Genomic DNA, 16,387 nt, shown 5'->3' with positions numbered 1-16,387 from the left:
CCTTCCTTGCCTCTTTTGGCTTCAGTGACTGTGGACATTTCTTGGTTCATAGCCACCCAGTCTAATCTCTGCCTCTGCCTTTATATCACCTTATCTTCTGTATCTGTCTTCTCTCTGTCTCTCACAAGGACTTGTCATTAGGGTTAGGGCCCCACCTGGATAATCAAGAATGATCTCTTCTTGAAATCCTTAATTTAATCCCATCTGCAAAGACCCTTTATCCAAATATGGTTTCATTTACAGGTTATAGAAACTGGACGTGGACATAATGTTTTTTGGGGGCTATAAGTTTGGGGAGGGCATATGTTTTGGGGGGCATTCCATCTACTACAGCCTGCCTTCTAGTCCCACCAAATTCTTATCTGTCCCATACACAACATAGGTTCACCCCATTCCAGTATCCCCAAAAATCTTAACCCACTATGGCACAACTCTAAATCCAAAATTCCATCTAAACAGCATCACTTGAAAGTCCCAAATCTCCTCATCTAATTAATCTGAGTTGGGTATGAGGGAGACTAAGTATGATCCATCTTCTCCATCTGTCAATATGCGAAACAGAAAACAAGTTATCAGGTTCCAAAATACAACGGTGGGACCAGTATATGATAGACATTCTCATTCCAAAAGGGAAAAACTGGAAGAAAAAAAGGGCTCATCAGCCCCAAGCAAGTCTGAAATCCAGCAGAGAAAATTCCATTAGGTTTCAAGGTCTGAGAACAATCCTCTGACTCAAGGCTGTGCCCTCTGCCTGTGGTGGCTCCCCTGGCTTCTGCCTCTGGGTCCCTGGTTGCTCTGTTGACAGAAAATCTTTAAGTTTTGATTTTTTAAGATACAATTAATCAATACTGTCAGAATTCAGTAGAGCAGTTACTCCTGCAGGAATAGGCAGGGGATGGTACCTGAAAACGGAGTGTGAGAACTGGTTGCTGGGGTGTCGGCAATCATCTGCTTCCTGGATGTAGATGCTGGTTACATAAGTGTGTAAAATTTCACTGACATGTATACTTAGACATGTGTACTTTTTAATGTTTTTTTTTTTTTTGAGACGAAGTCTTGCTCTGTTGCCCAGGCTGGATGGAGTGCAGTGGTGCAATCTTGGCTCACTGCAACCTCTGCCTCCTGGATCCAAGCGATCCTCCCACCTCAGCCTCTGGAGTAGCTGGGATTACAGGTGTGCACCACCATGGCTGGCTAATTTTTGTATTTTTAGTAGAGACGGGGTTTCACCATGTTGGCCAGGCTGGTCTCAAACTCTTGACCTCAAGTGATCTGCCTGCCTTGGCGTCCCAAAGTGCTGGGATTACAGGTATAAGCCACCATGCCTGGCTGCATGCATTTCAATTAAAATTTTTTTTGTGACCGGGCACAGTGGTTTGCGCCTGTAATCCCAACACTTTGGGAGGCTGAGGTGGGCAGATCACAATGTCAGGAGTTCGAGACCAGCCTGGCCAATATGGTGAAACCCTGTCTCTACTAAAAATACAAAAATAGCTGGGCATGGTGGCAGGCACCTATAGTCCCAGCTACTCGGGAGGCTGAGGCAGGAGAATCGCTTGAACCCAGGAAGCGGAGGTTGCAGTGAGCTAAGCTCGTGCCACTGCACTCCAGCTTGGTCGAAAGAGCAAGACTCTGTCTCAAAAAAAAAAAAAAAAAAAAAAAAAAGGGCTGCATTGCAAGAAGCTTTAAGCAACAGAGGAAATGATCTCTGACAAGGAGAGTAATTTCTGTCAATCATGGCTCATGTTTTTTCTTTTCCTATAGTTATATCATTATGGTAATAAAAAGGAGGATATTTCAGTTATGGCTCCTTACTAGACGACACAAAAGTAAGAGACCCACTTAGTCTCATCTGAGATTGTTAAAATATGTATTAAGAGAAATAGTTACTTCAGTGCACAGCCATAAGAAGAGCTGCAAGTCAGGTGCTGGTAATTTCATCTACCATTCAGGAGGACAATGCGGGCTTAGGGAACATTGCTGTGACTGTTGTCTTGATGTCTAAATACAAAGAGAGCTCTAGATAGCAATTAGCTCAACTAGAACCAGCCTTAAAAACAGGTTTCCTTCTGTTCTTCCTGGCTATTGTTTCTCAATAATAAGATAGATAGGGGCCGGGCGCGGTGGCTCACGCCTGGAATCCCAGCACTTTGGGAGGCTGAGGCGGGCGTTATCACGAGGTCAGGAGATCGAGACCATCCTGGCTAACACGGTGAAACCCCCGTCTCTACTAAAAATACAAGAAAATTAGCAGGGCGTGGTGGCGGGCGCCTGTAGTCCCAGCTACTCGGGAGGCTGAGGCAGGAGAATGGCGTGAACCCGGGAGGCGGAGCTTGCAGTGAGCCGTGATCACACCACTGCACTCCAGCCTGGGCGACAGAGCGAGACTCCGTCTCAAAAAAAGAAAAAAAAAAGATAGGAAGGTAATTGCGAGGAAACTTGTTAGGAAAAGAAAACTTGATTTATAAGAATCTTTCATTTAGCAGAAATTGAAATTAAGAAATGTTAAACACTGTAGACTAGGGGAATATGATGCAACTGTGTCCTTTCACTGGCTTCAGGCCAATGACTGAGAACCAACCAGGCTTCTCTAAGCGTGTTTTATAACCTGGGTCTCAGGAGACAGTTTGGTGTTTGTTTCCAGGTGTGCACTTTGGGTGTACTCGTAAAGTGCATATGTAGATTTAAACACAGTAATATCCATTCAATCTCTTTGTATATTTCTAATGAATCAGCTTGTTAAAAGTTAGGTAGGCCCAGACTGTACATGTTCCAAATTATTTTCTGAGAACCCATAATTTTAGATTTAACCATTAGTAGGTTGTAATTTTCTGGGAGACCAAGAAAAACATCATATCCAATTCTAAATGCTCCATTCAGGAACAAGGCTGGCAATACCATAAACTTTAAGCATCTCTACCCTGAAAACCAACTACCACAAATACTGTTTTAGTATTAAAGCTCAACAATTTATTTATTTAAATTCTTATATTTCATAAAACTTTTGAAATATAGGGGGAAAATACTGAACTTCAGGTATGATAGATGTTCTTTCTTCAACAGTCACTATTTTCTATGAACTTTTCAGCAGCTTTCCAATCACTCATCTCTATGAGCTGTTAAGTATGCAAATTAATTGATTCTTAAAATTAAAAAAAATGCTGGTGGCTAAACACTATCTTAATAAATGCTGTGCAATACTTTGGAACCAGATTTGCATACATCTTGTCTATGTATACATGACAGTAATAGTATTTTAATAACAAAATTATTTCCAATGGTAATTTAGGGTTATGAGCACACAGATTTTCGAACTTAGCTGCTTAAAAATCAGCTTATCATTTTACCCTCTCCTCTGCTGTACAGCTGTTCATTAATCCAGTCAACTATTTATAAGGTAATTGTTAAAATTAGAAGACATCTTTTTAATACAAGATTTAGAAAGCAGTTTGACCTGTCAGGATTCTGAATTAATTTTTTAAAATTGGGGGCAGTCCTTTACAGTAATGTATATATTTTCACTGTAATTTATAAGGGTAGATTAAAGTACTATTTATTACAACAGAGTATGATGGGGTTATTAATAATATGGCTGAAGGCTATTGAAATCTCTCACCAAAAGCACATGCTGTAATGATGGTAACACATTTTGGTGTAGTGATCAGGAGTGTCAGCTCTGGAGTGATATGATCGGCTCTGAATCCTGCCCTGGCTCAGCCACTTATGAGCTACGGGACTTAGGGCAAGTTACTTAACCTCTTTCCCTCTCTGTAAAATGAGGATAACTCCACTTCTGAGGGCTGTAGTGATGATTAAATGAATTAATTCACATAAAGAACTCAAAATAGGGCTCAGCTGCCTAAACGTTAAACAGTATTTTCTTGAGATGACTAATGGCGTGAATACTGTTTTCCAGAAAGTCATGTGATAATACATTTGGTCATGTAAATTACAGCTTCTGAAAACGGCACTCAGTGACAGCTAATATTCTAGTTTAACACCACTCCTATTATCCTTGAATGCAAATATCATTTAATTCCACATTCGCTTTTTTTGTGTGTGTGTGACAGAGTCTTGTTTTGTCACCCAGGCTGGAGTGCAGTGGTGTGATCTTGCCTCACTGCAACCTCCGCCTCCCAGGTTCAAGTGATTCTCCTGCCTCAGCCTCCTGAGTAGCTGAGATTACAGGCGCATGCCACCACACTTGTCTAATTCACATTTGCTTTTAATGAGTATCTACATTAGTTCAAAAGAGACCAAAAGAGGCAGCAGGAACAGATTTTTGGAATATATTGGTCTGACTGGTTCCCACCAAGAGAAGTTTAACGGAGGAGGGAACGACCCTCAAACTAATCTTTCTAGTTTTACATATGCTTAATGAGATCCTCAGACCAAGGTCAATGAGCATAGGAAAGGCAGCTATAAATCACACCACCTGATGGACACAGAAGAAACAGGGAGAGGAGGGCACCAGCGTATGGGCAGGAAACCTAGGTTGATTTATCTGCGTTGAGACAATTCAAGAGGGATCAGGAAACACAGAAGATTTATAAATTAATTCCCTGTGGCATCATAAAAGGCAGCAGTTTGACGATAGGAAAGGCAAGTTAGATTTGATGCTGGAAATGAAGGGAAGAGTCTTATCAAATTGTTGTGAGGGATTTTCCTACATCTGGAAATGACGACAAAAAAATGCAACAGATGGATGAAAGGAGCCTGGGATGAGTCCAGGTTTCCCCACATTCCCAGCCTCTGGACTTTCTACTTATTAGTAACTCCAATCAAGCAGAATTCATCAAAATATGATCTATTTCTTTGAAGGATTCAAAAAAACCAAGATTTTTTCATCTTCATAATGCAATATTTTTTAATAAAATAATACTTTCATAAAAAAAGCAAATTTCTATAGACAGAGTTAAACAATCTTTACACACGTTTTCTTATGCTTTTTGATTTGCTTCTTTTTAAACTCTTAATGTCAGCCTTTAGCAGACGATACAGCTACAGGTAAATATGTTGATTTATCAAAATACAGAAAATAATGAATTTTAGACTTTAAAATCATTTGATCTATCCACCCAATATTATAGGTGAGGAAGATAAAGCCCGAAGAGGCAAGTCAGGCAGCCTGTGGCCTTATTTGTGTTAAAACAAACACAATTAAATCAGCCTTGTGGACTGATTTATATAAAAATAAAAAACACATTAGCTGCCAACACTTAGACATAAAGAGATTTGTATAAAAATCTGAATTCTCCAGGGAAACATGGATGCCTGAATAACACAGGGCTCGCATCTGACATGGTCACGAGAGCTGGAGTTAGAAGTGCCTGCCTCTGTAGACAACACCATGTGGCCCCTACTTTCTCACAGTTCTTTTTCTGCTGTGGCTTTAAACCACTCACTCCTTTTATTTATGAGATCTGCTTCGCCCATACAGCCCTAGGGTTAGGCGCTATTAAGTATCTGAATAGTACTTTGTAAAATGTGAAGTGTTTGATATTCGTTGATGGTGTTATTACGTTCAAGATTATATACTTATTTATCAACAGAGTTGGATCTAGAGCTCAGGTCTCCTGACACTCAGTTACTATTTCTATTGTACCACGCTATACATACAAACAGGAAAACAAGACAGGAATGGTTATAGAACGGGAATTCTTAGATTTGAACAAATAATCACACCAACAAGAATAACCTGGCTTAACATAAAGAATAAATACAATTAACAACTCTAGTCCAAGTGAAAAGTTTCTTTCTCTTTCTCTCTGCTCCCTCCCTCCCTCCTTTCTTCTCATTTGTTCAACTTAAGCCAAGGGAAAATGAATACGTGAATGAAAAAAAGCACAGAATGGCTTTGCTAACGATAAGGAAAAATAGTGACTTCAGGCTAGGAAATTCCGACCTATCATGATGAGTCTTGAAGAGAAGTTTAAAGTGGAGATTGAGCTGAGGAAGTGCAAGGCAATTCCAGAAGTGAGGACAGTGAATGAAAAAGGGTTTGCATCTAGTTTCTTTCAAAACAATCTGGATACCATCAGTAGGAACAATCTAGTTGATCTTAGTGTTTGTAATGGTTCAGAGGAAGAAGTATATATATTTGAGTACTTAATATACACAAATTTAGGGTTGAAAGGAGGTAAAATAATTTTTAAAAGATTAACATTTTTATCTTAACTAGTCAATAGAGGCCATTGAGGACGGCTGTGGTGGCTCACGTGTGTAATCTCAGCACTTTGGGAGGTCAAGGTGGGAGGATGGCTTGAGGCCAGGAGCTATGACTGCACACCGCACTCCAGCCTGGGCACCAGAGTGAGTCTCTGTCTTTATTAAAAATAAATCAGTAAATAAAAAAATAAGGGCCGTTGAATTATTATAGACTGAACTGTAATCTTCTGTTTTTCTCGGAATTGCATTCTTCTGTCAAATTCTGAATATTCTAACCAAAGTTTTCATTTTCTAGGATAAAACAACAGTCACCATCAAGGAGATAACATCATGCAGGACAGCTGGGAGGCTGATGCTGATGTGCACAGCAGATATGAAGTAGGCACCGTCAAGGGCAAGGTGAAGGGGCCCTGGCAGTGCCTAACACAGATGTGTTTTGAGGAATGTCTTCTCAGTCATAAAACAGGCACCTGGCATTATAGATGACAGATTCATATATAAAACAAATGGGTACATAAATGCTCTCTGAGGCTGGCCTCATTATCGAGGATTTAAACTAAGTGAGATGAACAGATGTTTACAACATTTTACTTTCCACAGTTTCCGCAGCACTTAAGCTGCTGCGATACTTGCTATTTAATTTTCCCTTTATTCACTAACAACTCAGGAGCTCTCTGCTGTTTTATCCTACCATTGTTATCTTCTTTTAGAATGTAAAACAGTTTTAATAGTATGATGAATGGGCTTTTCCAGTTGTTATAGAATTGGTGACCAAGGCCCAAAGCAGGTGACAAAAAAGAGCTAAGCAACCAAGATGTATAAAGGCAGCTTAGTGGCCAGTGGCTGAAAAGGCACTACTGTCAGCAGTCCACTGCCTCAGCAGGTGCCCTTCATCCATCTGTCTAAGACTGTTGTGAGCGTAGTGCTACTGCCGGAAGGACTTGCCACATGGAGAGTTACGTGTTCATTCACAAGAGTCCCCTTTGCCTTAGCTAAGACAGAGAGGGCTCAAAGAGAACCACTCCTAAAGACTGAGTGTGAGTACACGTCAAGGAGACTGGCATCTCATTCCATCAGACTTGTTGATTTGCCTTGTGCTTATCTGAGAAGGAGACAGATGGCAGACGGAAACAGAAGTATCGGAGGCGGCCTATTTCTCACCGTTTGGCACGGCGAGGATGCATGCGCTTTCTGTGGGTCAAGTGATATTACAGAAAGCTGTCAGGTTTGCGTCTTTTGGCTGCTGCTCCACCCCAAAGGAAACAATGTTGGCCAGAGAAGCAGCATCAGAAGATGAAGAAGGCAGAGGAGTGAAAGAGAATGGAACTTGTCCCTTTCCCCCTGCAGGCCTCTCAAGTGAGCTGACGAGGGGAAGAAACGATGAATAAGTTCTGCTTTGTTGTCTGATCTGCTTTCTTACACTGTATAGTATGGTGGAATCATACAGTATGTACTTTTCTGTGTCTCCATTTTTGCTCGGTGTGTCTTTGCGATTCATCCAACCTGTTGTGTGTATTTGTAGTTCATTTCTGTCTACTGCTGAGCAGCATTTCACTGCATGGACATACCAAATTTGTTTATTCATGCACTTGCTGTGGTAGTCAGCCTTCAGGATGGCTTGCAAGGATCTCTGTCTCCAGGTATTCGCATCACTGTGCTGTCCCCTCCTATACTATATAAGGGTTGGTCTGTGTGAACAGAATAAGGCAGAAGTGATGGTATGTCACTTCTGAGATTCAGTTATGGAAGACACTGCAAATTCCATTTTGGTTGCTCTCTTCCTCTCTCGGGTCACTTCTGGAGAAGCTGGCTCTCGTGTCCTAAGTAACCCTACAGAGGACCCCGGGTCAGAACCACCTGCTAAGCTGCCTGCAAATTCCTGACCCTCAGTCACTGTGTGAGACAATAATTACTACTTTAAGCCACTCAGTTAAGGGTAATTTTTATGCAGTAGTAGATAACTAATAGATTTTGGCATAACTGGGAATGGGGTAACACTGTAACAAAAACTTCAAACGCCGGTGTGGCTTTGGAGCTGGGTAGTGGGCGGAAACTGGAAGACCTGGAAAGATTCTGAGGAGAGACTAGTGCAAACCTCAAGTGCCCTGAATTGGCTGTTCACTGAAATAGGGGCTTTTAGGAGGCTGCCACTGGATCTTCAAGGGAAGCAAGGAACTTGTTACTGGGATCCTTGATATGCAGTACCAGAACTTTAGCAACAATGTCACCTACAGTTGTGTAGAAAGTGGAGAATGTACTGAATGAACTCAGAGATCTAGCTAAGTAGATTTCCAGTTAAAGTGCTGAAGGTGGGGGCCTGGTTTCTTCTTGCTGCTTATGGTAAAACGTGAGAGGAAAATACACTAGTGTGGCCACCCCAAAGACAGCTTAGCACGGTCCTTTTATGTATTTATGGGAATTTACAAATACAGCATAAATCTAAAATACATATATTTTAAAAATTCCCTATGTGTATTACAGCAACAAACTGAAAGTGAAAAATTAGACCAAAATATCACACAATATATTCCCTAAATTCGTCAATATTTGACCTGCAAGTAGTGTTCTTTGTGATGTGCTTCCCTTTGATAGTGTATTTGTCAAAACCATGAAGTCCCTAATGGGAATCATAGGTATAAAATACCCTAACTATGCAATTTATTTCAGGATGTCATCTGAAGGTTCAGATGCAATAATGTAAGTCAACAAGGTACACTCTACCCTCATATTCCTTAAATTTTAAGTCTTAACTTCCTGACTCCGTAAGAAAATTTAGTCCTCTGTTGGTTCAGAAAATAGGACAGAGAAAAGGAAGGGAGGACTGCTGTAGAAAGTAGTTAATAAAACTGACTAGACACATGTCTCTCTGGCTGACCATTACAATACAGAATAATGGCAACTTGAAATTCTACATCATGTATGTGGCTTTAAAGGTTGATTCTCCATTATTCTTATTGGCAACAAGCTTCCATCATGGATTTCATGTCTAAGGAAAAGGCTTTAAATCACTAAGTAGACTACAGACAGGTCTATTTTCTTGGCTAGTTAGGAGAATTTTTCGTATAATTTTTTTCTCATAGAACAGAATAAGTCCCAAAAGGTGATTTTCATCTAACTGGGTTCATATTAGATTATTAGTACGTCTTCACAAGATTTTAGCTTCGTTCAAAAACAACTCATGTATACTGCAGAGAGCCGACAATCAGTCTGACATGTAAGAATCAATTATTTACTGTCTCCAACTTGGCGGTCCTAAATATTGCTCCAACGGGGAGCGGTCAGGGCCCTGGGCTAAGAATTTGAAAATCAAATTTGAGCCTTTTCTTAAAAAAGTATCTGACCCCTACATTCTTCAGATCAATGTTAAGCCAGTTCTTCCCAAATTTTAGTAAATGAGAACAAATCACATTTTTCATATACAAAACAATATATTTATATTCTTTACTCAAAACTTTGAGATAGGTAAAGACGACACATTTCAAACCAGTAAAATGATTTGAGTTTGGCTAGAGAAGAATTAATAATAAAACTGCATTTTCTCTCATAAAAGCTGTGATCAAAGAACATGTCCACCAAAACTGAAAGCTGAAACAGATATTTTATTGTTGTCATAACCCTCAGTTCCTAACAAAGAGAGTTTACTGAACCTTCAAAAAGGTATTCACCTTTGTACTATAAACAAGACTGGGAAATTTTAGTCCAAATAATGATTTATTTGGAAAGTTCCAAGTGGCTAGAGTGATGATAAAGTGTCTTTTCAACCGCAACTTCATAATTAGTACACCATGCTTCTATAATAGACAGTAGCCTTTTCCACGAGGAGGAAAAGATAGATGATATACAGCCATTTAAAGGTGGGCCAATGGCCAGCTCTACATCATGTGAGAAAAAAGGTTAAAGTCAAAATAAGAAAGGCATTAACCTATATACATTTTCTTTTCGCTAACAACAAAGGAGTAAAATAACCCTAAATAAATGAATTGAAAGATAGCAAGTCCATATTATAGGACAAATTGTTTCTGAGTGGGATATGTGGACAGAGCATTGAATCGTGTTATCATGGTAACTGGCATTCTAATAGGGATGGGGAAGTGTGAAAGCATGTACAAATGCAGGTTCACAGATGAGTGAATGTGTGCTAGAATGTCTGCTAGATTGCAGAAACGGCCAATTCAAAGCATAGGCTGGTTTTCCCAACCTAATCAGTGAATGTCAAAGTACTCAGCTTTACCGATGAAACAACAAGAGCAAAGGTATCATAGGCAGTGCCACAAGAGAGACTGAAAACTGTTCACTAGAGAGTGGACGGAAGTTAATAAAAGACAGTTACTCAAAATATTATTCACTTGATTCAGGTATTTTTTCATACCACACCTACTGAAAGTACTTGGGGCAACGGTGAAATACTCTTCCCATCAAGAACTTAGTGATTAGGGAAATAAAGCGGTCTTTGGAGGATTAAGCAAGTAAAATACACATAACACAGTAGAAAACTACTGTATGAAAATGCTTGACTGAAGAATATGGGATCATTCTCAAGACCAACGGGATCACCTGATGTCATCTCATCTCAAGGAAGTAGTGCTGGGATGACGGGAGAAAGACCGCGTGTACCGAAAGGTGATGCTCAGCCTGGAACAGTGAAAAGGGAAACAAATCGCACCGTTTCTTTTTTGTTTCTGGTTCTTTACGGATGGAGAGGGGAAGGGCTGGCGTATAAATAGATCCCCTTTTCTGTGTCTCAGGGAACAAATGAGTATCATAAAAACATAAAATAGCATTGTTTGTATTATTCTAATTCTAATACAATCTGATTACCAACCATCTGGAATCTTCACAAAAGATGGTGACAGTGAGAAGAGAATCAGTTCTAATTCTAGCTCCACCGCTTAGTCTTCTTCATGGAAATTTAGCCACAGTTTTATCCTTTTTGGGTCTGAAGCGCTTCCCCAAATAATGAAGACACTCTCCAGAGCTGTGGGGAAGACCCGGTGATGTAAAGCCCCTGTGCCCTGCGCACGACAGTCAAGTGGCACGTGGTGGCCATTATTGTCACTGCTCTATTTTCACAGAATTCTGAAAAGTTATACTAGTCGGGGATACCCAGAACGGGAGGTAACATGTGGAAAATCACAGAACTCGAAGGCGAGTGAGATGGGATGTAGCTTGGGAGTTGACATTTTCCTAATGTTGAGGACTTCAGCCAGACGGGCATTTAAATGTTCTTCAGTGACGAAAATGTAAGATTTAAGAAAGACATATTAGAATTTAGAATTATTTTTTAAAAATTCTATATGAGAGTCATATCATTAAAAAGAACAGGTGGAAAAAAGAAAGGATAAAAAGTACCTCTACCTCTTTTTCCTAACTGCCCTGAGAAATACGTTCTTCCTCAGAGGAGTGGAACGCCATGTGCTGGTTGTGTAATTCTGAACACTGCGTGAGTCTGCACATTTAAATAAAGTGGCTAGAGACAACCAAGAAGTAGAGCCAGGCCGGGCACGGTGGCTCACGCCTGTAATCCCAGCACTTTGGGAGGCAAACACAGGTGGATCACGAGGTCTGGAGCTCAAGATCAGCCTGGCCAAGCTGGTGAAACCCCGTCTCTACTAAAAATACAAAAAATTAGCCGGGCGCGGTGGCGGGCACCCATAATCCCAGCTACTCGGGAGGCTGAGGCAGAGAATTGCTTCAACCTAGGAGGTGGAGGTTGCAGTGAGCCGAGATCGCACCACTGCACTCCAGCCTGGGGAACAGAGCAAAACTCCACCTCAAAAAAAAAAAAAAAAAAAAAAGGAACAAGAGCCATGCTTACTGAGACTACCCCTCCCTCAATGTACTGTGTGTCACCTATGGCACAGTTCTGACCACGAACAGGGCTATCAGTGACAGGGAATGGAAGGGGGGACTCTAAGCGCTTCAGGTGTGCTATCTTATTGAATTTCACACCAACTCTGTGAGGTAAATCTGAAGTGAATGGGTAAATAAGTTACATAATGTTTGGATGACCTGCTAAAGCTGTCAGCAGAAAAAGTTGGCAAGGCCAGGATTACCTTCTACAGAACGTGATACGATTTGGCTCTGCGTCCCCACCCAAATCTCACCTCGAATTGTAATCCCCATGTGTCAGGGGAGGGGCCTGGTGGGAGGTGATTGGATCATGGGGGCAGACCTCCCCTTTGCTGTTAAGATAGTGAGTTCTCACAAGATCTGATGGTTGAAAAGTGTGTGGCAGTTCCTCGCTTGATCGCTCTCTCTCCTGCCACCATGTAAGATGTGCCTTGCTTCCCCTTCACCTTCCGCCATGATTGTAAGTTTCCCGAGGCCTCCCCAGCCATGTGGATCTGTGAGTCAGCTAAACCTCTTGTCTTTACATTACCCAGTCTCAGGTAGTACTTTACAGCAGTGTGGAAGCGGACTAACACACAGAATGTCTGCCAGATGACTAGAACAACCAGGGTTTGATGCATTAGCCTGTGAGTTCCCTTAAGACGAGCACTGTGCTTTTGTATCCCTCACGCCTACAAAACACTGGAATCAAAGAATATATGGTGTGACAATTAATTCTAATGCACAGGATTACAAAATTGTAGTTGTAAATGAGATTATCTAGATTCAAACCAAATCTGTTTAAGTTTGTAGCCTTTACTTTTATACTGTTATAGTTGACTCTTAAAAACAGAAAAAAAAAAAAAAAAAAAAAATCCCAGCCTGTCCTGAAAAGCCCAGCCTGCCTATAACACATCTGTGTAGAGCACACAGGGGCAGAGCCAGATTTCACACCAGCAACCAACACAATACGGAGGTTGTAAAATTCTGGAGGTGAAAAGAAGAAAACAATGCTGAGAGAAAGGCCATCTTGTGACAACTGCTGTGACTAAACAGATTGTATTAATGCTTTCCAGGGTTCTATCGGAGTTTACATTAAATCTCGTGCGGGGGCCTGACAATCACAGTGGGGCTTCTTCATGACTTAAGGTCTGAACACACTGGCTGGCACCCACCACAGAACATCTGGAGTTTGTTAGACAGCCTTAGTTTATTTTTTTCACTGGCCCTGGCCCCTTCCTCTGATGCAGCCTCTCCAAGTGCTGCTTTGCCATGAATGAGTCAAGGAGACAAGTTACCCTGTAGGGGGTGGGGGGGCGGTGGTTAGAGGGGGTAAGTAAATTGGGACCATATTAGAAGGTGACCCCCAAATCTATATATCCCTCATTGCTTCACCTCTTTCTGACAATAGGAATCACATGTGAACGCCAAGAGCCTATCAGGCAGTGGCAGCTCCATTTGCTGGAAAGCCTGGTCAATGCTGACTGCTTCCCTGTTAGGAAATAGCCTTTAGACTGAGGCACATTCCAGCAATTCATGGACTAGAAGCTTTAAATTAAAACAACATTGATGCCATATCCTCTTTCCAAAAGGCCTCTCCCTTGTCCAAAAGTTAGTACACACTCTTGGAGGAATTAAAGAATCAAATGCCTTTGGCAAGACTCCTTCCTTCTTGCTCACAGCATCCAGATACGCTTTGAAAGGGCAGGAATGTAAAAGGGAGGCAGGAGATGACTGTAGGAAGGACTCCTGAGAACTGTTATTATTTTTCTCTTCATACAGGACACATCGCTACAGAAAATTCAAGGCATGTGGTTTGATATAAAGACACTGAGAATTGTTTAGCTACTTCCTTCTAAGGTTATAAGCTCAGAGATTAATTAATTTCCTTTTCTTTTCTTTCTTTTCTTCTTTTTCTTTTGAGACGGACTCTCGTCCTCTTGTCAGGCTAGAGTGCTGTGGCGTGATCTCAGCTCACTGCAAGCTCCACCTCCTGGATTCAAGTGATTCTCCTGCCTCAGCCTCCCAAGTATCTGGGACTACAGAGGTGCACCACCACATCCAGCTAATTTTTGTATTTTTAGTGGAGACGGGGTTTCACCATGTTGGCCAGGATGGTCTCGATTTCCTGACCTCATGATCCACCCGCCTTGGCCTCCCAAAGTGCTGGGATTACAGGCGTGAGCCACCGTGCCCGGCCAATTTCCTTAATTTTCACATAATGAAAACATATGTTCTTTGGAGGCCACTAATCAAAAACCACTGTAAATGAGGTATGGTATTCTGGTCTGCTAGATATTCAATTCTATTTGGTGTCTTAAGTGAAGAGATCAAGAACTGCTTAAATCATAGGCCTATGTATTCAAGCCTAACTACTTAAGATAAGTGATATTGCTGAATATATAAACTCCCACAGCAGTGAACTCCTTTCTCCAATAATATCCTCCAATTTGCTATTATCAGCTTTGATGAGCCAAATTTCAGTTTTCAACTACTGGACGGATGTCTTTCATAATAAGCACATTCTTCCTATCTTACATAACAGGTAGTCAAAATATTAGATGATGTCCTCTTCTTGCTAAAAAGTATTTTAGGACCCTGGAAAAGTTTTATTTCACTTGTGAATAAGCAATGGGTTACTTTTTGCTGGTCAACTATCCATCCTGCAGAAAAAAGACATCTTTTGGTATTTTCTCAGCAAAGTGTGCAACATAAATACATATAAAGACTATTTCTAAGCAGTTTTAATTTGATCCACAGAGAAAATAACTTTGTTGTTTAAATATTGATTCTTGTTAATATAAACATTATGCCAAAATACCATCAATTGATGACTGACCTCCAAAAATAGAAGAAAATAAATTTCTTTACTTGAAAAGCTCTTTCTCGGTCTCATTACTTGAGGGCAAAGAGCACACCTGGGCAGCCAAAATGTACAGACAACGTGACTGGGAATGCAGGAGACAGCCACGGAGGCTGGGACGCGGATGCTGCGCCCAGCCAGGAGCACTCAACGAGGAGCACTGCCGTTCAAGCAGGGCTCCGATGTAAACATCCAGCACTCTCCTTATCTTCCAAGGGAAATGTTTTTCTCCATTTCTTTATTGTGGTAAAATATGTCTAACATAAAAGTTACCATTTTAACGATTTTTAAGTTGATGGTTTTGTGTATTAGGTACATTCATACTGTTGTGCAACCATCATCAAAGGGGAAACTTTTAGCTTTTATTTTCACAAACAAAAGGTGTTACATGAATATTAAGTATTAAATTTTGAGAGCATTTAGGCTGGAAAAGAAAAGGGCCAACCTTTGTTCTTATCTTCAGAGCTTACCCAATCCTGAATAACTGGAAATCTTTTCATGAAAATATCCTTAGTGGCTGCTGTCATAGAAATCTTGCTGGATGTTTAAAAAAAAAAGCCTTTTCATGTCAAATGGGCTAATTTCAATAATTTCTACAATCCATTGTACAAAGTTAAAAAACATTCTCATAGAAGACCTGTGACATTGTCCAAAACAGCCCTCTTACCACGAATGCTCTGCATTTCCTAGACACAGATTTGCGGAGATAAAAAGTCTCTAATGATGGAAACTAACTAGCTCCAATGATCAGATGTCTAATATGAAACATGAGACCTTAAAGTACAAGCTGGCAAAGACCTGTGTGGAGAATGGTGTGAAAGCTGGCCCCACTGACCCTCCTGCTGGCATTTAATAATACCTGCTGCTTAAGCTGCTGTACCAGACGATCCTTCTCCCGCTTCAGGGCAGCCACTTCCTCTTGGGTCTTCTTCTTAGAGGACGAAAGCTCCAAGAGAGCTATATTGGCGTCTTTTTCACTAATGGCAGCCAGAAGAGCTTCTTGCCTGCAAAAGAAAGCAAATGCCAACAGCGCCATTCACCCCTTCCAACAATTCTTTGGAGTTACTATTACCAGTACCCCCATTTTGAGGGTAATAAAACCAAGAAAGCAAACGCCAACAGCGCCATTCACCCCTTCCAACAATTCTTTGAAGTTACTATTATCAGTACCCCCATTTTGAGGGTAATAAAACCAAGAAAGCAAACGCCAACAGCATCATTCACCCCTTCCAACAATTCTTTGAAGTTACTATTATCAGTACCGCCATTTTGAGGGTAATAAAACCAAGAAAGCAAACGCCAACAGCATCATTCACCCCTTCCAACAATTCTTTGAAGTTACTATTATCAGTACCCCCATTTTGAGGGTAATAAAACCAAGACTTTCAGAGTTTACACAGCTTGCCCAAGTTCACACCTGGAGTAAATGGTACAGCCAGGAATCCCATTCAGGCGAATGTGACTCTAAATTGTCTTTATCATGTTGTTATCTTAATAAGTTCCCCTATATTAGGCTAAGTGAAATAA

At 40.9% G+C, this 16,387-nt stretch overlaps 1 protein-coding gene across 54 annotated transcripts in view; it reads right to left on the bottom strand.

Annotated features, from left to right (window-relative positions):
• Nucleotides 1-16,387, bottom strand: part of ERC1 (ELKS/RAB6-interacting/CAST family member 1) — a 505,975-nt gene that overhangs the window by 108,237 nt on the left and 381,351 nt on the right. For all 54 annotated transcript variants that reach the window (NR_027948.3, NR_027946.3, NR_027949.3 and 51 more), the window contains one exon: nt 15,720-15,864. Coding sequence is in view for 50 of the 54 variants with exons in the window: in XM_047428566.1 (XP_047284522.1) it covers nt 15,720-15,864 (145 nt within the window). In the remaining 4 variants the exon portion in view is untranslated. The remainder of the gene's footprint in view (nt 1-15,719; nt 15,865-16,387) is intronic.

The sequence above is a fragment of the Homo sapiens genome, chromosome 12 (genome assembly GCF_000001405.40).
Source record: "Homo sapiens chromosome 12, GRCh38.p14 Primary Assembly".
Classification (NCBI taxonomy): Eukaryota; Metazoa; Chordata; class Mammalia; order Primates; family Hominidae; genus Homo; species Homo sapiens.
The sequence above is the reverse complement of the archived record's forward strand: the minus strand, read 5'-3'. Positions and strand labels throughout refer to the sequence as shown.